General features: G+C 51.5%; 1 protein-coding gene and 1 long non-coding RNA gene across 5 annotated transcripts in view, besides 4 other annotated features; one reads left to right on the top strand and one right to left on the bottom strand.

Annotated features, from left to right (window-relative positions):
- FGD5 (FYVE, RhoGEF and PH domain containing 5) overlaps nucleotides 1-6725 on the bottom strand; it is a 123884-nt gene extending 117159 nt beyond the window's left edge. For all 4 annotated transcript variants that reach the window (XM_011533422.2, XM_011533423.2, XM_047447514.1 and 1 more), the window contains exon 1: nucleotides 6548-6725. In XM_011533422.2, the coding sequence (XP_011531724.2) occupies nucleotides 6548-6560 (13 nt within the window). In that variant the 5' untranslated portion in view covers nucleotides 6561-6725. The remainder of the gene's footprint in view (nucleotides 1-6547) is intronic.
- Nucleotides 3254-3456: a silencer, noted in NCBI's record as "fragment chr3:14855464-14855666 (GRCh37/hg19 assembly coordinates)". NCBI's record gives its function as "represses an EF-1alpha promoter that drives an FKBP-Casp9 reporter gene in an ReSE screen in K562 erythroleukemia cells {active_cell/tissue: K562}" and the evidence as "EXISTENCE:reporter gene assay evidence [ECO:0000049][PMID:32094911]".
- Nucleotides 5929-6429: an enhancer, noted in NCBI's record as "H3K4me1 hESC enhancer chr3:14852491-14852991 (GRCh37/hg19 assembly coordinates)". NCBI's record gives its function as "activates a minimal SCP1, AML or CMV promoter by ChIP-STARR-seq in naive H9 embryonic stem cells {active_cell/tissue: H9 hESC(naive)}" and the evidence as "EXISTENCE:reporter gene assay evidence [ECO:0000049][PMID:30033119]".
- On the top strand, nucleotides 5999-18082 carry LINC02011 (long intergenic non-protein coding RNA 2011). Its single transcript, NR_135245.1, has 3 exons — nucleotides 5999-6055; nucleotides 14117-14198; nucleotides 14392-18082. It is a non-coding gene; the product is annotated as a long intergenic non-protein coding RNA 2011 (long non-coding RNA).
- Nucleotides 12506-13248: an enhancer, noted in NCBI's record as "H3K27ac-H3K4me1 hESC enhancer chr3:14845672-14846414 (GRCh37/hg19 assembly coordinates)". NCBI's record gives its function as "activates a minimal SCP1, AML or CMV promoter by ChIP-STARR-seq in naive H9 embryonic stem cells {active_cell/tissue: H9 hESC(naive)}" and the evidence as "EXISTENCE:reporter gene assay evidence [ECO:0000049][PMID:30033119]".
- Nucleotides 19951-20884: an enhancer, noted in NCBI's record as "H3K27ac-H3K4me1 hESC enhancer chr3:14838036-14838969 (GRCh37/hg19 assembly coordinates)". NCBI's record gives its function as "activates a minimal SCP1, AML or CMV promoter by ChIP-STARR-seq in naive H9 embryonic stem cells {active_cell/tissue: H9 hESC(naive)}" and the evidence as "EXISTENCE:reporter gene assay evidence [ECO:0000049][PMID:30033119]".

Here is a 21438-nt window from a genome sequence, read left to right as displayed (position 1 = left end):
ACCAGCCTGGTCAACATGGTGAAACCCCGTCTCTACTAAAAACACAAAAATTAGCCGGGTGTGGTGGCACACGCCTGTAGTCTCAGCTACTCAGGAGGCTGAGGCAGAGGAATCACTTAAACCTGGGAGACAGAGGTTGCAATAAGCCAAGATTGAGCCACTGAACTCCCGCCTGGGTGACAAGAGCAAAACTCCGTCTCAAAAAAAAGTAAAAGTAATTTTAACGATATATTTTATTGGACTCAATATATCCAAATATTATCATTTCAATATGTAATCAATATATAAAATGTATTAATGAGGTGTTTGACACTCTTTTTTCATACTAAGTGTCCCAAATCTAATATGCATTTTACATTTGCAGCACACTTCAATTTAGACTAGCTACATTTTACCTGCTCACGAGCCACATGCGGCTGGTGGCTACGGTACTGTCCAGCACAGCTCTAACTGGTTTTAGACATCTCCATGGGACTGTACCACTGGCACCTCAATTTCAGTATTTCTGAAGCCAAAGTTGGTATCAGTGCCAATGGGTTTAAAGGTTAAAACAGCCACTGCATCAGACCCCTAATCCACACCATTTCATCCACATCAATGCCCAGGCCAGCCACTGACATCCATACAATGACCCAGAATCTTCTAGAAATAGTGACTATCAAACTCCTTGTTTCCGTACACAGTCACGTGTGTCCTAGTTTAGAAAAGCGTCTATCCATATTAGTGAAAAACAAAACATGGGAGCTTAAAAAGATATGCTTCAGCTACCTGTTAGAGTAGGGTAACAGAGGGAGCCTTTGGAGCCTGGCTGATCTGGGTCAAATCCTGACTTTGCTACTTATCAGCTATGAAACTCAGCCTCAGTTTCCTCATCTGTAAAATGGGTACCACACAGCACCTACCCTCAATGGATTGTTTTAAAAATTAAAGGCTACATATCAAAAGGGCTCAATAGCAGGCCTTCACATAGAAATACTCAATAGTAGCTGTTGTTCAGATAAAGTCCATCTTTGCCTACCCCAGATCTTCCCTTGGTTGAAGTCTTGCTCTACACTGATACACTGCGTAATATGAGCTTCACACTGTCAACATTGGGTGGCAGGCATTGGCACGAAATTATTCTTTGGGGGTGGGACTCTCATTTCTTATCCTTAACAGGTGGGCATTTCACATGGGTGCCATGAGACAGGACAAAGGGACAGGTGGGCCATGAAAAATGACCATCACCTTGGCTATATCACCCCCGTCCCACCCAATCCTTCATCCAATCAAGCTATTGATCTGAAGGCACTGTCTCCTAGGGAAAGGTTATGGTGGGTGTCTGAGGCATGATCCTGCAAGAAAATGACTTCCCCACAGGAGCCTCTGGGAATGGCAAACACTCAGCGCCTGTCCTGTGCTCCCAGCCCCAGGCGCAGAGTGCTTCAGCCACATCCCTTCTGAGATCAAGGCAAGCCAAAAGAAGAAAGGCTTCATCTGACCCTCACTGAAGGAGGAGGAAACTAAGGCACAGAGAGGGTGAGTGGCTGGTGTGGGGCTACCCAGCGAGTCCAGAGCAGGGCCCTGGTAGAACCTGCGTTTCCGGCTTTCTAGTGTTGTCACCTGACCCTCTGCCATCCCCTTTTTGCCACAGAGTGTTTCCTCTATGATGGAGACTCAGAGGTCCCAGCATCTGGTGAAGCAGAGAAGGGTAAAATGCAGGGAAACTAAGGCCACGGTGACCAGAAACAGCTGGGCAGTTAAAAAATGTATGTAAGGCTGCGTCCAGGGCTCAGAACTACTAACTGACCAAAAAGTGAACAACTAGCTTTAATTTGCTCCCATTCAATTTCTCTTAGTCTAATTCCATTAAATACATATTTATTGAGTACCAACTATGTGCCAGGCCCTAATCTAGATTCTTTGGATACATCAATAAGTATAACAAAGCCCCCAGACTCAGGGACCTTGTATTGAGAGGTGGTGGGAGATATGCAAGAGAAAGGGTAAGTACATTACATATCATATGCTAGATGATGATAAAGTCTATGCAAAATGATTAGGAGTATTTTTTTTTTTTTTGCGATTTTAGATAGAGTGACCAGCATAGGCTTCACTGAGAGGACATGTGAGCAAAGACACGAAAGTGGTGAGGAAAGCTAGGACTCACTTGGCATCCAAGAAACAGCGAAGAGGCCGGCAAGGCCAGATGGGACGGAGTGATCGAGCAGGAGAAGCAGATGAGGCGAAAGGAATCATAGGAGGGTGCAGATTATGCAGGGCTTTGACTCAGAGTGATGTGGGAAGCCACTGCAGGGTTTTGAGCAGAGGGACATGCACATTCTGGCTAATGTGTTGAAATAAACTGAAATGGTGAGGAAGAAAGCAGGGAGACCAGTGAGGAGACTCCTGCAATTATCCAAGCAAGAGATGATGGAGGCTTGGACCAGGCTGAGGTGAAAAGAGGTCAGATTCTCAACAGGAAGGGAGAGCTGAGGGGATCTGCTGACCATATGAATGTGGGGTGTAAAAGAAAGAGAAAAGTCAAGAACGACACCAAGGTTTTGAGTCTGCGCAACTAGAAAGCTGAAGTTTCTGCCAACTGGAACAGGAAAGACTGCAGGTGCTGGGGAGGGAAATCCAGAATTTCAGTTTGCACGGGTCAAACTCCATTCACAGTCACCTACTACACACCCTGGTGGAGATGTCAAGCAGCTGGAGATGTCAAGCAGGCTCTGGCTTCTGAAGAGAGGTCTGGCCGGAGGTCACCATCATAGAGATGGAATTTAAGGCAGGAGCCTGTTGAGATCACCAGAGGCATGAGTGTGGACAGAGAAGAGGGCAGGGCCAAGGAGGGAGCTCTGGGGGCCCCAGCCAGCAGAGATGAGGAGGGTGCAAACAAATCAAGAGTATGAGAGCATCCAGCTCTGTCCCCTCCTACTCACCCGCATCACAAAAGGGAGCCAGATGGAGCTCCTGACCTCAGCATCATGTTATCTAGGTCTAAGGGCAATTCTGCCTAGAGAAGACCCAGAAAAGAGAGAGCACTGAGTGCAAGTTGAAGGACAGGAGGATTTTCACAATTAAAAAATAGGCTCCACCTGGATAGAGCATTCCAGGGAACTTTAGGGTATGCTGAGCTTTAGGGTATGGTAGGGCGAAACTATAGGCTAAATCAGAGCTGTGGTTTCCTTCTCTGGATTCCCTGTCCAGAACCCAGCATGGATGTAGCTGGTGGACCTTCTGGGCCCCCTGAGTTCCTCTGGAGAAGGCTATGGTGTGAACCTTCTCTCTCCTTGTATCACGGAGCCTGGGGGTCGGACCCTCCTCACCCTAAGTTACTAATGCCCAGGGCCTCCTGGCAATTTGCTATGCCCGAGGATGACTCAAACTCCAAACACCCTTTGAGCCAAGATGGCAGGAGTTAACTAGGGGGTGGGGGAATCGCACTGACAGGAGGAAGAGATTTTTAACAGCTTCTAGTGATAGAAATCATCCCCAGCCAGCCCCCTGGCACCAGTTTATATTTTCTCTCTCTATTTTAATTAAATATCTGTCACTCACATGTTCATGCTTGCTGCTCCCTTGTTGGCTATGTAGAAGTTCAATTAGCAGGGGTATTGGGAGGAGCACTGGATGGGGAGCCAGGAGCACTGGATGGGGAGCCAGGAGCCCTGATCTTCACACCTGGCTCTGCCTTAACTGGAGGTGTGATCTTGGGCAAGTCCCTTCCCCTTTTCGGGCCTCGGCTTCCCCATCTGCAGAGTGAGGGGACGGGACCAGTCAGTCAGTCTGGTTTGCTCTGGCCGACCACAGCCTTCTAAACTCCTGGCTCTTCTTAAGACACCCTCTGACATCCCATCTTCAGTTACAAAGTCTGTTTCAGCTGCAGTTCACTATACTCCCCCTGGAACTCTCATAACCATATGTTACAAGAGTAATTATCTTCCAATTTCACCTTCCAATTACATCTTAATTTAACTTTCATTCCTGGGTGCCTGCTGGAATGTCCAAGCCAAGCCTGATGATTTCTAATTAGGCTGCTGTTAGGCTGGTCCAGTGATCCACGACAGGGCACTACCAGGAAGACAGCACAGGACAGTGTGGGAAGAGCATGCTCACGCTCAGGAAGGCTGGGCTCCCATCCCATCTCTGCTATACGTCAGCTCTGTGATCTTGGGCACATCATTTTGCCTCTCTGAGCCTCAGTTTCCTTTTTGGTAAAATGATGAAATACCCCCTTTTTTTTCATAGGGCCGTTGAGAAGTTCCGGAAAATAACAGACATGATGCCTAATAAAGTCGACTGGCAGACATTTCCTACACCCTACTACGTGTTAGGCACTGGATAAAAAAGCAGGCTCTCAGGCTGGACAGCCTGGGTTTCAATCTTGTCTCAGCCCTTCAATAAGCCAGTGACCATAAAATCTCCGCACCTCAATTTTCCCATCTATAAAATGGGGATGGCAATGGTACTCAACTCATAAGATGACTGTGAAAACTAAATAAACTGATAGAAGTAAAACACCTAAAAGCAATACCAAGTCATATTAAGTACCCAATAAATATTAGCTGGTATTTACTGGTTGCTCTGCTACAGACACTGTTCTTTCTAGGCACCTTACGTGTTTTAGTCTATTTAATCTTACCAACCCCATTTTTCAGATAAAGAAACAGGTGTAGAGAGGTTGAATAACCTGCTTAAGGTCACATAACTAAGCATATGATGGTTCTGAGATTCAGTCCTATGGAGTCTGTGAACCACCATGCCATGTGATCAGGAAATTCAGACCATGGGGCACGGCCTGAATGTGAGGCTGGTATCATTACCATCACATTGAAAAAGGAACCAGGTTTACACTGGAGACAAATTACAGGAAGGCTGAACCCAAGAGCGACAACGGCTAAGATTTCCTGGGACCAAACCTGCCTCTAAGTTTATTCCGACTCACTCCATCCCCCAGATTCTCAGAGAAGGGAGGGTCTGCCCAAGCCTCATGCAGGAAAACGTGGGAAAACTGGAAACGCTCTCACCATTGTTATAAAGCGAGTTTTATTAGGAGTGTAGGAAAAAGCTAGCCTGGCTCTGTTCAGCCACGCCAGCACAGGCAGGAGGCAACCCCCTTTCCAAGCAGTGGCTGGCTGGGCTCTGGGCCTCTGTTTCAGCCTCTTCCATTCCCACAAAGTGGCACCCCCGATCCTGCTCCCCAGTTCTGTGACCCACACTCACTAACTGTCCAGGGGCCTGTATGCCCAGCAATAACAGGGCCTGGACATGGAAGGTGGCTGCCACACTCCCAGACTGTCTAAACGCGCAGCCTGCACCTCACTGCTAAAACAATGACTTTTTTTCATTAAAAAGATTTTTAAAAGAAAAAATCCTACACACACACACACATACATACACACACACACACACACACACACACACACCAGCAGGATATGGTTCCAAGACAGCCAAAATGGTGGCTTCCTGTTTCTTTAGGGATGTGTGTTTTGGAGTATGGCTTTGGACAAGGGTGTTGGTCGGGGAGCGGGCTGCCTTCTACTAAATTCTGTGAGAAAAAGAAAATAGAGTGGTGATTGCTCCTTGGCAGGCAGATGAAGTTAGCTGGGACTGTTCCCTTGCAAACTCTCATCTTAAGGGAACTTTCTGCCCTCCCCTTAGATGGCGTTGGGAATCCCGAGGACTGGGTTCCATGCACCACCCATCTCCGAGTCTCGCTTTCTAAATCCGTTAAATGGCACTACTCTGGAGGGATCCCTGCGATTTCAAACACATTTTGATTTCACGGAATCTCTGAACTGCAGGGATGAGCTGGGGGAGTCAAATTCATAGAGCAGGAACGCGATGGACTGGGGGTGGGGGAACCTGGAGCGGCTCAGCGCGGCGGCGAGGAGCGTCCCCTTGGCATTGGGTCCCCTAGGGGAGGCACAATGGAGGCCCCCGACCAGGGCGCTGCGAGGGAGGGGTGCGCTATAGGGGGATTAATTTAGGGCTTTTTAGTCTCATCTGGAGAGTAAGCTCCAAGCCTCGGGGTCTAGGAGGAGAGAAGGGAGCAGGAATCCTCCTTCCGGTATGCCGAGTACTGAAGGGCTGGGAACTGGTCCCGGAGTCGAAGAGAGCTCCGGGACGGGCCCCGTGGGTCAGGTGTTGCCCCTGAGAGATGAGCAAGGACCGGTCCGGGACGCTGGGGAATGGAGGGCAAAGGTTTTGGGGCCAGACGAAGTCGCTTTTGCGAAAGGGGCGTCTTTCTTCGTCGTGGAAGGGACCCTCACTCCGGGGAACGCCGTGCGAGTGGGATACTGGCGCGCACGGCCAGGGCGCGGCCTCGCCAAGGCTGAGAAGGTCCCTGAGGCAGGGCGCTTCGGACGGGGACCCCCGGTTCTCAGCCTCCTCGGCGAGAGGACCCCGGAGCCGCGCATGCTTTGGCCGAGGCCGAGCGGCACTGGAAGGTCGGAGGATTTCGGGCAGCTAGCCCCGGGCTCCCCGGGAGCTCCAACTTGGAGCGCCCGGCCGGGGTCCCTCGCGCTCGTGCCTCGGCGCCGGAGGTCGCCGGGCCTCCTACCTGCTCTGTTCATCTTCAGCGCGCGGGGCCCGGGCCGCCGTCGGCGTTTCAGTCCGTCCGCGGGTCCCAGTGCGACTCCGCACACCGCCTCCCTCCGCGGCCGCCCCGCGGGGCCCGCACCCCCTGGCGCCCGCCCGGCCCCGGCGCGCCTCGGACTCCGCGCGGCGCGCAGGGCAGTGGGGGCGCGAGCCGCGAGCCTCCGGGGCGGGGCCGCCGGGCGGGGGCGCGGGGCGGGGGAGGAGGAGGGGGCGCGAGCGCGGGGGCGGCGGCTGGGGCAGCGCCGGGCGTCGCGTCCGCTCCCGGCTCCGGGCGCGCTGCGCTCTGGCCGCCGTGCCTCCGCCTGCGCCTCTGCCTGCGCCGCAGCCGCGCCTCCACCCCCTCCTAGACATTTCCTCCGCTCCCGAAGAGGAAGGATTTTTTTTTCCCCTGCTCGGTCAGAGATTCAGGGAGGCGAGGGCCGGGGCGTCCCTGCGCACATTTAAAGGGGCCGTGGCCATGGGCACCGCGGGAGGCGCTGGGGGTTCGAAGGACGAGAACTCAGCGAGTTGGGTTTCTGGGGTGTTCCTGGCTCCTTCGCCCAGCGGACCATCTATCCCTTTATTTTTAACTCTGGGTATTCGTTCAGTGCCGCGCCAGCCTCTGCGCTGAGCACGGAACAAGACAGCCCCAGATTCTTGCCCTCATGGAGCGTAGACGGGAGGAAGTCGCTGGAGACACCATTTCAAAGCGAGGGAGGGAAACCAGGGCAATAGGGCTGAGCGATGGCTCTCAGATGGCGCCGCACATTCTTGGGACCCTCCCCAGCCTCACTGAATCAGAAACCCCGTGTTTTATCAAACCCTCCAGGTTTGAGAACCACCGGAGTAGAGACTGGGTGATCAAGGAAGGCCTCCCTGAGGAGGTGACATTGGAAGGGAGACCCAGTTAATGAGAAGCCTTTCCTTATCCACTCAGCACACACCGCGTAGCCCCTCACAGGTACCTGCCTGGCGACATAGATGACTCAGACCTGCCAGGTGGAGGAGTCTCCACCTCCCAGGAGTTCCCAGTCTGCTTGTCCACACAGACACAGACAGATAGTTCTGCTACCCCGAGGCTCGTGCTGGGATGGGAATGCACAGGCGCCTGTGGGAGCTCAGAGGAGGACCCCAGTGCGGAGGGTTCAACCAGAGGAGAGGCCTTCCCAGTAGGAGGAATTGCTGGGGCAAAGACTTCACCGAGGTGGGAGAAGGCCTGGCCTGCTGGAGGAGTGTCCAGAGGTGGTGCTGGAGACGGATCTGATTTCCCCAGCTGTAAAATTGGGAACTGAATTTGATCCTTTCAAAGTCCTTTCCATCTCTGAGCTGCCCCAGAGTCCTTAATCCTCCAGGCTTCTGTGGAGAAATACTTGTGACTCGAATAGAAAATCTGTGGCTGAATTTGGTGTTACTTAGACAGGCTCTTGATACATTTTATGGGTCCATGCATGGAGGTGTGGCAGGGATGGAGATGGAGGTGATGGTGGAGGTGGTAGAGGTAGCAAAGGTGGTAGTAGCAGAAACAGAGATGGTGGAGGTGGTGTTGGAGGTGAAGGAGGGAGAGGTGGTAGTAGAAACTAGTGGTGGTGGAGAGGAGGTCGAGGTGGTGGTGGTAGAGGTGGAGAGGGTGATGGACGTAGTTGTGGAAATCATGGCATAACTGGAGGACATAATATACCCCATGGTAGTGGAAGAGTTGGAGGTGGTGTAATTGATAGATGATGTGGATGTAGTGGAACTGGAGGAGATGAAGGAGGTGGTGGTGGTGGAGGTGGAGTTGAAGGAGGTGATGCAGGTGGTGGAGGCAGTTGAGACAGTCGAGGTGATGGAGGTGGGACAGGTGAGGGAATGGATTGAGTTGATGGAGGTAGTGGAGTTGAGTGAGGTGGTGGAGTTGAGGGAGGTGGTAGAGTTGGTGGTATAGAAGATGTGGGCAGGTATATCTGTGTTTAAATGTGGGTACAAATGAGTGAATGGATAAACCGCTTCAATATTTGATGCAAAAAGAAAATATATTTTTTTAAAAAATTGATCTTGTTTCTGAGATTAGCAATAAAAGCAAAATACCCTAGAACCCCCAGGGCAGGAGCAGGTGAGGGAGGCTCAGATAATTCAATTCACTGCCAGTGTTACTCTTAGCTGTCAGCCTGTGCAAAGGAGAAGGGAGGACAGGAAGAGACCTCAAGGCTTTGCTAAGCCCTTTCCACTACTGTTGAATTTGGGATTTGAGGCTAAGCAACGTCTACTTTAAAAGATCATAGCACCAAGGCCAGTTGGGAAAAACACAGGTCTGAACTTGTGTAGCTGAAGCCACACAATAGTGTGGAGTGATGGGCTATGAAGTTGAAATGCTTATTCCTTTGTTTGCTGTTCCTAATAAGAGAAAATGGATAGGAAATACTGTTGGCTTTACAAACACCCACTGCCAATACTGGTGGTTGTATTTATGGGACTGAGCCACAGCCACTCACTGAATTCAGGGGGAGTAACTGTAAATACCCACAAAAGACATGATGTGTGGGGATGATGACCATCATCACTACTTTCTTGAGCCTTTAACATATGTTTTTGTCCCAAGAATTGTATAAAGGAGTTATTATATCCCCATTTCACAGATGGAAAAACTGAGGCCCAGAGAGAGGAAGTGACTTGCCCTTACAGTCCAGCCAGGACTCTCATCCCATTCACTCATTTACTACTCTGTGAATGCTTGCAGTCCTTGGCTTTGCCTTTTGTGGGCAAGAGCCTCTCCACACTTCTCTGGAAGAGCCTGGAAGGTGGAAGACAGAAACCTCTAAGGCAGATGCCAGCAGGGTTGATATCTGAGCAGGCTTTCCCTCTCTCCCCCTTTCTTTTTGCTCTTTCCATGCTGCCCTCTCTTTCTATCTACTTTGGACAATCAGAATGGCCAGCAGCTGCCAGCAACCTCGCGGTAAAAACCTAGCGGGAGCGTTGGAAGTGGGGGCCAAGGGGACCATCACCATGGTTCTGCCACATCCAAGGACCAGCCAGATGTCGGCCTCAGAGCCTGGGGAACTTAGGATCAAAGGAACTTGGATGTCCAGTGCATCAGCCAGGTGAGGAGACAGTGGCACTAACAGCAGGCAGTCGTAGCAATGACAGTGATAACAAATGCTGATAGCGGATGCCTGCTGAGCATCAGCTCTGTGCTCCACCCTTTCCGTACATCTCATGACAATGTAAAGTGATTTTTATCATTGTCCCCATTTTACAGGTGAGAAAGCTGGGGATCAGAGGGGTGAGACATTTTCTCAAGACCCAGAGGCAGTGGTGGAGTCAGACCCAGGTCCGTCTGTCTCTAGGGCCAATGCTGTTTGCTGTATACCACATTTGCCCAAGGTTACCATGGCAGAATCTTGACCAGAATCCTGGGCATTCCTTCCTTTCTTCAATTCATTCATTCAGCAAAAATGAATGGAGTACCTACTTTGTGCCAGGTGCCTCATAGCCGAGCCTCACCCTGTGCTTCCCAGAGCTCCCAGGCTAGCTGAGGAAGGCCACCCAACATCTAATTACCACCAGCCCAATAAGAGCACTAATGGGGAAAACAGACTTCCTGACTCCCAACCAGTGTTCCCATTACGGTACCACTCCTCAGGTGCCTTTAGACTCCTGCGGTGGTGATGACAGGTTCCCCGGGGGCTTCTGAAAACAAAGTCACCCCTCACTGCACCCTTTAAGACCCCAGGACCCTCCCCACACACAAAGTTCCATCCCACACACCTCTCACTCATGCACATGCATAGTGCACCATTCTCCAAGTCAGCAAATATTTCCCATCTTTCTATCATCCTTGGACAATCTGGGGCTGACTACCTCCCTGAACACGGCTCGGGTTATGGCAGCCCCAGCTCCAAATCGCTGAAATCCAGCTCCCTATTCCCACAGGCCTGAAGCCTTTAAGCCAGCTCCAAAGCTGGATGTGGCCACGTTCTCCAGAAACAAAAAAGCACCCCAGGCTCTGCAAGCTCATGTGAAAGTGCCCATCACCAAGCCTCCCAGACAGGCAGTGGGATGTGGTGGTCAGGAACCACATTCACTTGGGCGTGACCTTGGGTGAGTCACTAAGTCTGTTTCCTCATTTGCAAATCATAATAGCTGATATTTGCTGAGCTATATGCTGATATATTTGTGCCTTCAATATATGTTTTGCATATATTACCTCATTTAATCCTCCTAACAAACCCATGCAGTAGGCATTGTTATTACCCCCATGTTACAGATGAGGCTGCCACAATGCAGAGAGGCTAAGGTACTTACTTGCCCAGGAATACACAACTAGTAAGTGGTGGGCATGGGACCCTGGTTCTGGGGCTGGCCTTCTTACCTACTTCAGCACACTCCTCCCCACCCCTAATCAAATGGAAATGATAATAGTGTCTCCTCAGTAAATGAGGTCATTCATCTAAAGAATTCAGTACGGGAGAGGGATATAGGGGGGTGCTTAATAAATGATGTCTGGTACACAGTTGGTGCTCCATAAATGTGCACAAACAAAGTCAACTCACCAGGAACTGGGGCACACAACCCCCACAATCAGAGCATGAGAAGATCAGAAAGGAGCACTTACTGAGCACCCTGTGCATGCTGGAATGAGCAGAGTTGGGGGTAGTGGAGGGCAGTGCGGAAGCAGGGCAGCAGCCTGTGGAGGTGGCCTGGGTTCTGCTTCCTGCCCCACGCAGAAGGGGGTGAACCTCAGGGTTTGCTTTCCCACTGTGTGCTGGCCACCTTTGCATTCTGCTCCTGTGGCAGGGGCCCCCTGTGTTTCCCATTTTCCACGAGGTCCACCTTTTGTCACCTAGAAGAAAATGCATGCTATTAAGAAGGAAATTACCCTGGCCCTGCAGCCTCTTCAGCTGCTGACCTCTTGGTCCCTGCAGTCTCAGACTGCTCACCCTGCAGTGCCATGGCTGTGACACCATCAGCCTCTGGGGCTTATCTTCCCCTGAAAAGTAATTGAGTTGCCTTCCTGGCTCCAGGGAGGACAAATCTAAGCCAGATACCTGCCGGGGGTTTGGGGGTTGTGGGGGTAGAGTGGGGAGGGAAATGGTGTCTGAGCAAGGCTGCCCTTCCCTTCCCATGCTGCACACATTGCTGGAGGACATCAGATAAATTTGGCTCAGACCCCCACTGCCCTGAGCATGCTCACCCAGGCTGAGAGAGGAGCAGGTTCTCGACCACACCAGGTACTGGTTCTGTGGCCCTGGGCAAGTCATTTCACCTCGCTGCACCTCACTTTTCTCCTCTGTAAAATGGGCATAATGAAACTTCTCTTGGGTTGAAGTGAGGATTCGGTGAATTTTAGTTCTCTTCTCTCTTCACTTCCCTGTCCTTAAAGAGTTCATGGTGTGGTCAGAGAGAAGGGCCTGGGATCAGCTGATAGTGATGCAGGGCAGCTGAGCTGAAAGTAGGGGATCGAATTAAGCTTACCCCTAAGAGGAGAGGAAGTGACATTTGGACTGGGCCTGAAAGGTCAGGCAGCATTTTCCAGGTGCAGCAGTAGGGTGGCCCTCCTAGGTACAGGGAAACTGCCTGAGCAAGCACCTGGAGGGATGGAAGAGGAAGGCAGGTGGGCACGGTGAGAAATGTTTGTGGTCACAGCACAGGACATGTATGTGAAAGCTCTCTGACTGATGGTGGGCCAAAGAGTCTGGACTTCACCCTGCAGGTAGAGAGGAGCCATAGTCTGGGGGAGGGGGTGACATGGTCAGCCCTGTGTGGTAGAAAGCTATGTGGTAGCTGGAGTTGTGGATGAGTCAGAGGAGCAAGCCTGGAGGTGGGAAACCTGGAAGGCAGGAGCCGGGATGCCACAAGAGGAGATGAGACCTGAATTCATGAATGCTCCTGACCCATGGGGGCTGCATGGGCTCAAATGCATGCTGGAAGGCTTCTAGGAGGAGGTGGGCTTTGATCTGCACCCTCATCAGAGGCAAGGGCATTCCAGACAGGGGTGGGGATGGAAAATGGGGGCCGAATCTGATGAAGCTGGAGCAACCAGTGTGCCGGGTGGGAGTGCATTTGGGCGAGAGGGGTAGGCAGGGGCCTCAAGGTCTTGATCCATCAGTCTTCGGCTCTCCAAGAAAGGGCTGAGCTCTGGGGGAGGGGAGTCAGAGGCTGGGCAGGACCAGCTTGGAGTTTTTATTATCACTGGGTGGGATTTTTATCACTGGGTGGGATTCAAGGTCTGTGGAGGAAGCGGCCACCCTCTTCCGGCCAGCCATTTTTTTTCCTTGCACTGGCCTGTTTGGCTTTTTCCCGAGGCTGCATTTCCACAACAGCCCCTCCTGGCTGGCTGGGTGTGGGCACGGCTCCGCCACACACCCAGCAGCAGGGGCGGCTGGCCTTAGGCTTCCTGCCCCTCTCTGGGCAGGCGGACTGGAGGAAAACAGCCCTCAAGCCTTCTTCAAAACAGGAAACTGCTCTCCCTGCTTCCTGAAGGGCAGGAACTGTCCCTATGGCAACCATGGGACAAAGAGGCCACATTAACCCTTCTGAGGGCAGGCCTGGCTGAGAGCCTCTTCACCAACCCCTCCTGGGCGTACAGGCAACAAATGGGGGTCACATCCCCCAAGGGACACCCCCCAAGTCTCACCACCATTCCAAGGGAAAGGCAAGTCTGGGTATTATACCCATTAGATGGAGGGCAACATTGAAGTGAACTCGGAGGGGTGGAGAGGCTGGCCCTCATCTGGACCACACAGTGCAAGGACTTTGGGTTTCATTCTCTGAACAAAAATGTGGAGCCACAGAGGAGGTGAAGCAGGGGAGGGATGGATTCTCACTCACATTGTAAAAGATTGTCTTCTGGCCATGGGTGCTGGTGGGATTCAGTGCAGAGTGACAGGGACTTGGGACTCTGAAAGGTGTTTTTTTCTGGGGGACTTTGCCCTGAGAACGCTGGAGAGACCTGAGTCATGGGGAGACGTAGTCATTTGTTGTTGTGGAGGGTGGGGGAGGGTGGAGACTCTGGCTTGCACCCAAATGTGGCTACCACTCAGGAGCCCAGCCTTCTCCGTAACCAGCCACCAGCCGTCCCTCCCCTACCCCCAGTGGCCGCTGTAAGGATGCCACGAACACAGCTCCCAGCACTGTGGCTGCACACAACAGCTGCTCACCAGTTGCTTTGGGAATAGCATCCTCCTTCCTTACCACAGCCCCTAAGCCCCAGCACCCCACCCACCTCATCATGTCCCCTTTCCCCACCCCATCTCTCACCACCTCCCCCTTTTCACTCACTTCAGCCACACTGGCCTTCCTCTCCATCCCTGACCCTGCTCAGTCCTTCCAGCCCCAGGGACTTTGCCCCTGTTATTTCCATTCCCTGGAAAACTCTTTCCTAAATGTTCACATGGCTGGGCTGGCTCCTCTCATTTCTCAGGTCTCAAATGTCCCCCTCACAGAGGCACCTCTGACACCACTCCCTACTCCCTTGCCATCCCATCACCCGGTTATCTTCCTTCTCTGCACTCATTCCTATCTGAAACTGTCCCATTTATTTGTCTGTGTATGTGTGTGCTGTCTCCCCGATTAGAATGCCAACCCCGGGAGGGCAGGGCTGGATCTTCCCTGGTGGCTGCTCCACCTCCAGCACGGAGAACATAGCCCGGCACACAGTAAGTGCTCACTCTAACATCTGCTCAGTGCAGGGAACCATCTCTCAAGAGGAGTTAGTTGGGGGCGCGGGGAGCAAAGATTAAGTGTTTGCCCTATAAGACAACTAACATTTCTTGAGCAAGTACAATTGCCAGGAACTTTTTGGGGTGCTGATTGCATTTGGAGGGATGTATTATTATCTCCGTTTTTCAGATGAGGAGACTGAGAGAAGTAAAGGTTCATTCCCGAGGAGTTGAGGGTAAACCCAGGGTAAACCTGTGCCTTCCTGCTTACCCTCCCACCAAGCTGAAAGGGGCCTCATGCACAGAGAATGAAAAAAGGTGATTTGACTTTCTGAGGAGTTGACAAGGTCACTGCCAAGGTCCACACCTTTGGGTTAAAGCAGGGCATCCCAAACTCCCTGATCTGAAGGATCTTCCGGGCTGGGTACAATACACATTTCAATGCCTGCCCCCAGGCCCAGTGAGGTGAGATTCCCTGCAGCTTGAATGAGATTCTTCATTTGGAGAAACAGGGGGTTAAGGCTCTGGAGGCCCTGTTAAAAGCCTGGGGTTGGGGGAACACAGGGACTCCCTTCTCACCAAAGGGCCTGAAGTCTGAACCAGGCCATCAGAGGAGAACCCGGCCGTTAATCATTCACTCAATGTGTGGTAGAGTCTAAGGGCCAGGGCCTGTCCGTGCCCTGCTGTGCCCAGCTAGGGAGCCGGGGCAGCTCGGGAAGGCCCTGACAAGCAATTGACTCCAACTTCCTACCTCTGACAGCCACCTGTCCTTGAATCCTGGGGACGGGAAGCTCAGTCCTCACAGGGCCGACCCTTCCCTTGTGGGCTGGCTTTGCAGAACAGAGGTAGCAATGTCACCTTCCCCAATGCACCAGGAAGGGTGGTGGTTTAAAGAGAGGCATTTTGATGAGCCACCAGGGCCGACTCCTGATTTATTTTCCCCATTCGAGCTCCAGAGTGGAGACTGCGTTCTCTCTGCCGGCCCTGTGGCAGAGGGTGAAGGAGGTAGTGGCTCCGGAAAGACCATATTAATTAGCTTAATGAGCACTTGTGCATTTGTGTGCACAGACATGGGAGGCAAGTGTGAATCTCTGTCACCGACATCATTAATTGCTGGGGGTGCATCTCCCCCCACCCAAAACCTAGACACTTAGAGAAATGAATCAGGCCCAGTCTGGGAACACCATTAAAACACTTGGCTGCTCTGGGTGCCGGTCCATTGCCCTGTGGCTGCTGGGGCTCTGTCCTTCAAGAAGAGGCTGCTGTCAACACACACAGTCCCTGCAGGAGCAGCCTCCAAGCTGCCTTCCAGCAGGGGGGCCCCAGGCCGAAGCCTGGTCCTCTACAGCTTAGGGGAGTCCCTAAGGAGGGGAGCAGGTGTGGGGAAAGCACCTTCCACCCCCAGCAGGAGCCACACACTGAGTCGGGCTGATTATTTCCTGCAGTGTGCTCTCTGATGCTGGGATGGAGCCCCAGCCCCACCACTCACCAGCCCTGAGCCCCCACGAAGTCCCTGTTCCTTCTGGGTGTCCCTCTCCTCATCTGTAAGATGAGGCTTTGCTGGCACCTATGGCACATGCCCACTAGGAAGATGAAATAAGATAGTGACCCTGAAGCCCTTAGCCCAGTGCCTGGCACACAGGTAACTGTCGGCAATGTTAGATTTTTTTTACTGAGCATTGTTAACAAAGTCCCTGGCACATAGTAGGCAGTGAATTAGGATTTCATGTCTTTCAGCAGGTGGACCTTGTGTTTGGAGATCTAATCCACGTGCCATTTCTCACTGACTTGATAGTTTGGTTAACCAATGTTTAACCTTTTATAAATACCATTTGTTCACATCTCACCTATAAACAGGCAACAGCAGCCAGCCCTCGCTGTCCAGGCGCAGCATCCCAGGGTCAAGTCAAATTCTTAAATTGGAAGCCCGAGGAGAATTTGCCACTGGCTATAAACACCTCCCTCAGGATCCAGACGCTCCCTGCCTGTCTGCGTAGGTGAGGGTTCAGGGCCTCCTCAAGCTGGTTGGGCCACTGGTGCTCCCAGTACCATAAGCACCCTGCACGTATGTATGTCATGTATACGAGCATGTATGACTCTTTTCATAGATGAGGAAACTGAGGCGCAGAGACTTGCTTAGACACACAGCTGGCAAGCAGCGGAAAGGTCTGACCCCAGGTCATTTGTGACCACACACCTGGTTTTAACTCAAGACCCTCCCAACCAAAATCGAGATAATTTCCCCTGAAACAGTGGCAGGCACAGCACTTACAAGGGTGTGAAGGGGTCCCCTTGCGGCTAGGCACACCTGGGTGGGTGGTAGAGCAGTATCCATACCCCTGGCTTCTCCTTGCACCTTCATTTTAACCCCCATTTTATCAGCACCCTCTTTACTCCAAGCACTGGGGGAAACCCAGTGGGGTCAGATGCACCCGACCAGCAATTAAAAGCAACACTGGCTCTTGCCTCACTCTGAGGATCAGAGACATAATTGGTGGGGCCCAGTGCAAACTGAAAATGCAATACCTTTTCTTCAAAAATTAAGAATTTCTAGAGGTCACTGCAGCATGTGGGGGTCTGAGCCAAGCACAGGGCCCTCCTCAATGTGGGGCCCAGTGTGGCCACACTGGTTGCATAGCCATGGAGCTGGCCCAGCTCCTGCTCACAGCCTGGCACAGACTGGGAGCAAAATACATGTTTATTGAGTGAGTGAAATGGCATGTTCACCCCCAACTCTGTGAGGTGGACTCAGGATCATGAATTTGCAGGTGGGTAAACTGAGGCTCAGGAAGTTTCCAGATTCATCCTGTTCTACCTGAAGCCCAGGTCCCTGCCTCCTACCACTCTTGTTTGCCCACTGTTCCATGCTGACCCCAATCCTGGCCTTTGTTTTCCTGATCCCAGAAAGAAGGGATAGTTTACCATGGGCTGGAGTTTATTTTATTTTTGTGTTTTCCAATAATTGATTCCAACAGTTCCTACAGACAGACGTCCTGCAGAAGGAAAACATGTTTTGCTCGCTCAACCTTCGACTTCCTCATGGCACCACAGTGGTGGGGGCCCATGGCCTCGAGGAAAGCGTGGGGTGACTTTTCCCTTGGTTATTTTTTTCCATCTCACTGTTGGGGGACAACAAAACATGTTTTCCTTTTTCTCCAAAGGAAATCGGAACTTTCTTATTGACTACTCATTGCCTAAAACTCACCTTCCTTCTCCGTGATAATCTTGGATTGGATGAGATGTGTAAGTTAACTTCAAAATAAAGGAATGTCCTTCATTTTACTAAAAGGACAACCATCACAACCAAAGATTTCATTCACATGGAGCCACCAACACCACTGAAATTCACCGTGGCTTCCTCGTCAGTCTGTGCACACATTTGAAGTGGCTTTATAATTTCAAGTTCACACGTTTGCTCATAATGTTACCTTTTTCAAATGCACAGGGCTGAGTGAACATACACATTGCCAATATTCTGGTCAAGTTGAAATGGCTGCTTAGAGGTCATGGAAACAGAATTAGGTGTATGGTGTGAGGAAGGGGTCAAGAATCTTTTTATTCCCATGTGAATGTCCAATTTATCCAGCACCATTTATTTAAAACACCCTCTCTCACTGTACTGTTGTGTCTCCCCTATTATAAATTTGGCACTTCTATACATGTTGGGCTAGTTCTGGACTTTCCTTTCTGTTCCTTGGGTCTATTTTTTTATCTTTGCACCAAGACCACCCTGTCTTAATTACTATTGTATCCACTGAAATCAAGAAATCATGCTAGACTTAGTAACTCTCCTATTGTTGAACATTTAGGTTGTTGCCAATGTTTTATTATAACGACTTGTGTAATACTGAGTCATAGCAATAAAGAAACAATCATAGTTGAGACTTACGGTGTGCCAGGCTGTAAGTGCTTTACATATATTAACTCATTTAATCTTCGTAACAACCCTTGGAGAGAGGTGCAGTTTTGGTCTCCTCTTTGAGAGATGAGGAATTCGAGGCACAGGGAAGCTAAGTCTTTTGCCTTCAGTCCTATGGCTTCTGCATGGTGGGCAGGGGTCTGAACCCAGGCAGGCTGGCTCTGGAATCTGTGCTTTTATTCACTCACCTCTGTAGTAGGTGAGCGGATAAAAAGGGGGTGCATAAAGGAATGAATAGGATGGAAGTGACGATGCCTTTCTTATCTTCTTGAACTTATGAAGTGGCTCAGTGGCTGTGGGTCTGAGAGCCCTGGGAACCCCCACACCCCCGCCCGGTCCACCACTCACTGGCTATGTGACTTTGGATGAGTCATTACTTCTCTTTAAGCCTCAGGTTCCTTGTCTCTAAAATAGAAATAGTAGACCTATTTGTCTGGATCATCCTGGGGCTTCAGGAACCAGTATAGTGTCTACTGGTCCAGAGAAGGTTCCCTGAGGTCTTAACCATCTTGATGGTCACCCAGGAACCTTGGTGACTACAGAGGGCTCCTCCCAAAAAGCTCTTTGCTTTGTGGATATTCTAGGCTTCCTGCTGGAGCTGGAGAGACCTTCACAGATGGGGAAACTGAGGCCTGGAGAAGCTAAGGGCATGGCCAGTGGGCACCCTGAACCTCCTTCTCACAATCTCTCTCTGCATTTGTAGATCCAAAGCTCGAGGCTCTCCTGGTCATCAGCTTACCAGGGTGGGTGCTCAGCCCAGAATGTCCCCACCCCCTTCATTGGGCAGCTCTTTCCCCTCCTTCAAGGGCAGCCCCCAGCTCACCACCCTGCGTCGGCTCTCCTGATCTGCAGGCCTGAGTGATCATCTTAGGATAGTGACTGCCTGCTGCAGTGGGACTGTGAGCTCCATAAGGATGGGCCCCTGCCATGGCTCCACCGATAGAACCTGGCACAAGGAGACGCCCAGAAGATAGCCAATGAATGAGTGAATGAGTCTTACTTATGAAGCAGTTACCAAAGCTGACCAATCATTCCGGTTTGCCTGAGACTGAGGGTTTTCCTGGGATGCAGGACTTTCAGTTCTAAAATCAGGAACATTCTAGGCAAATTGTGTGGCAAGTGTTGGGTTCAGCTTTTAGAGCCACCATTTGGTCTCATCCTCATGTTTTACGCCAGGTTCCCTAGAAGGAGAGCCTCAAGAAATGCTCTCAGCAGGGAGTGAGGGATGCAGGCAGGCAGGGAAAACACCACACAAGGCTGTGTCCTCGCTAGACACTGGCCTCAGCCTGATCTTCAGGGCCTCTGGAGCACACAGGGCACCACAGCATGAGTCCCACCTTGAGGGGGTGACTCACCCTGGAGAAGGGGGGCACAGTGCTAGGGGAGTGCCTGCTGGCCGCCAAGGGCAATGTTCAGGAGAAAGGGGCAGCTGTCAGCCATTAGCAGCCAAGGTCACTGCAGCCCCAACCTGGTCATGCAGAGCCAGGCAGGGCCCCCGGTGTACACTGCACTTCCTCACAGCTTCTAAGGGAGGTTAGGTGGGATTTTATCCCTCACAGCCTTTTTTAACCTCAAACTGCCCGTAGAGCCCCTTGGGCCACAGCCACAGATTTTGGACTTCAGAAAAGTTACTAGATCTGTAGAAGTCAGAGAGACTACAGCTGAGAAGACTTAAGGAGTCACATGTGCTGTCCCAGAGCTGGGGAACAGGCAGGTCTGGAGGTCCACAGGGTGGTGCCAGATCCCCTGCGGACATCCTCCCAGCGCCCCAAGCCACTCTCCAGCGTGTGACTTGGGATTGTTTTCTCCACCGCACTTACCACTACCTGAAATTATTCTGCTTGTTCATTTCTTCAGTTGCTTTGTCTGTCTCCAACTCCAAAGTATAAACTCCATGAGGGCAGGGATCTTTCTTGTTCTTTATTGTCCCTTCGGGCCTAGAAAGTGCCTGGCATTTAGTGGGTGCTCAATAAATATTTGTCGAATGAATGAATGTGTCCCTCGTTTATAGATGACAAAATTGAGACTCTGCAAAGTCATGCAACTTATTGGCAAGGTCATCTGCTGCTAAGGGTCAAGCCGACCTTGAGGCAGGCTCCCATCCCCCATGCAGCCTGCCTGCTAGCTTCCTGGTCGACCCATGATGATGGAGATGGTGTCTGATTGTGCCACTGATGGCTCCCTGGCCCCTGGCTCAGGTAGAGCCCCTTGGGGCCTGTGCATGCCCTGCTTGCATTTCCTGGGGCTTCTGGTGCATAGGGAGCCTCTTCAGCCCGCATCACCATCCTGCGATCTGAACAGGCTGCACAGCACTGTGGGGGAGGGGGTGGGGGTGAGTGCTGTCTGCTGCCATGATCAATGTGAATAATAAACGTTTAGCGTTAATAAGCTCGAGTTAACTTCTCTTGCTTTAGTGACTAATGGGCTTCCCCGAGCCCATAACTCACGCTGTCGGCTAAGCCTCCCGTCCCTCCTTGGCTTCTCTCATCCCAGCCTGCTGTGAGATGTTGCTGAGAAAGGAGGAGGGAGCTGGCTCAGCGGAGGCCTTATTTATGGCAGTGAATACGGTGCTTTCAGGTGGCAGCAGGGTCTTTCTGGCTGCTTTTTGGCTCCAGGAGAGGAGAAGGGGAGGCGAGGGAGGTTGGCGATCGATCCACCCCTGTCAGCTGGCTGGGGGAGCTTGGGCAAGTTCTTTCCCTTCCAGTTCCTCATCTGTCAAAGATAATAACCAGGGCTGTTCCAAGAATCAAACCATGTGACAGATATAAGAAGTGCTGGACATATGGGGAGGGTTTGCAAATGTTTGAAGAGTTGAGGGAGAGGAGGAGGTGGCTAGGAATGGAGAGTGCAAAGATCTTGGCCCCTTGTTCCTCAAAGGGTGGTCCTGAGACCAGCAGCATCCATGTCACCTAAGGGCTTATCAGACCAGAACTACAGAATCTCAGCCCAACTGGACCAGAATCTGCATCTTACTAAGATCCCCAGTGATTCCTGTGCTTATTCCAGTCTGGGAATCACCTGCCGAGATGGAGTGTGGCCAGGCAGTAACTTTGGTGTTCCTGTTCACCAGTCCCTAGACAAGAGCAGACATTGATAATCAATCCCAGCACTCTTGTTGGTGGAGCCTAGAAACCCTTTCAGCTTAGCACTCCTGGCCTCCTTTACCACTGTTGAGAGCTGGCATGCAAGAAGGAAACTGTTTGTTGTCCTGGGCCTAGACTCTGCGCCTCCAAATCTTTGACTTAGATTAGGAAATCCAGCCCAGTCTCTTCTGCAGTTTCTGGAAGCAGTACTAGTCACAGAACAGGGAAGGTAGGA

The sequence above is a fragment of the Homo sapiens genome, chromosome 3 (genome assembly GCF_000001405.40).
Source record: "Homo sapiens chromosome 3, GRCh38.p14 Primary Assembly".
NCBI lineage: Eukaryota > Metazoa > Chordata > Mammalia > Primates > Hominidae > Homo > Homo sapiens.
The sequence above is the reverse complement of the archived record's forward strand: the minus strand, read 5'-3'. Positions and strand labels throughout refer to the sequence as shown.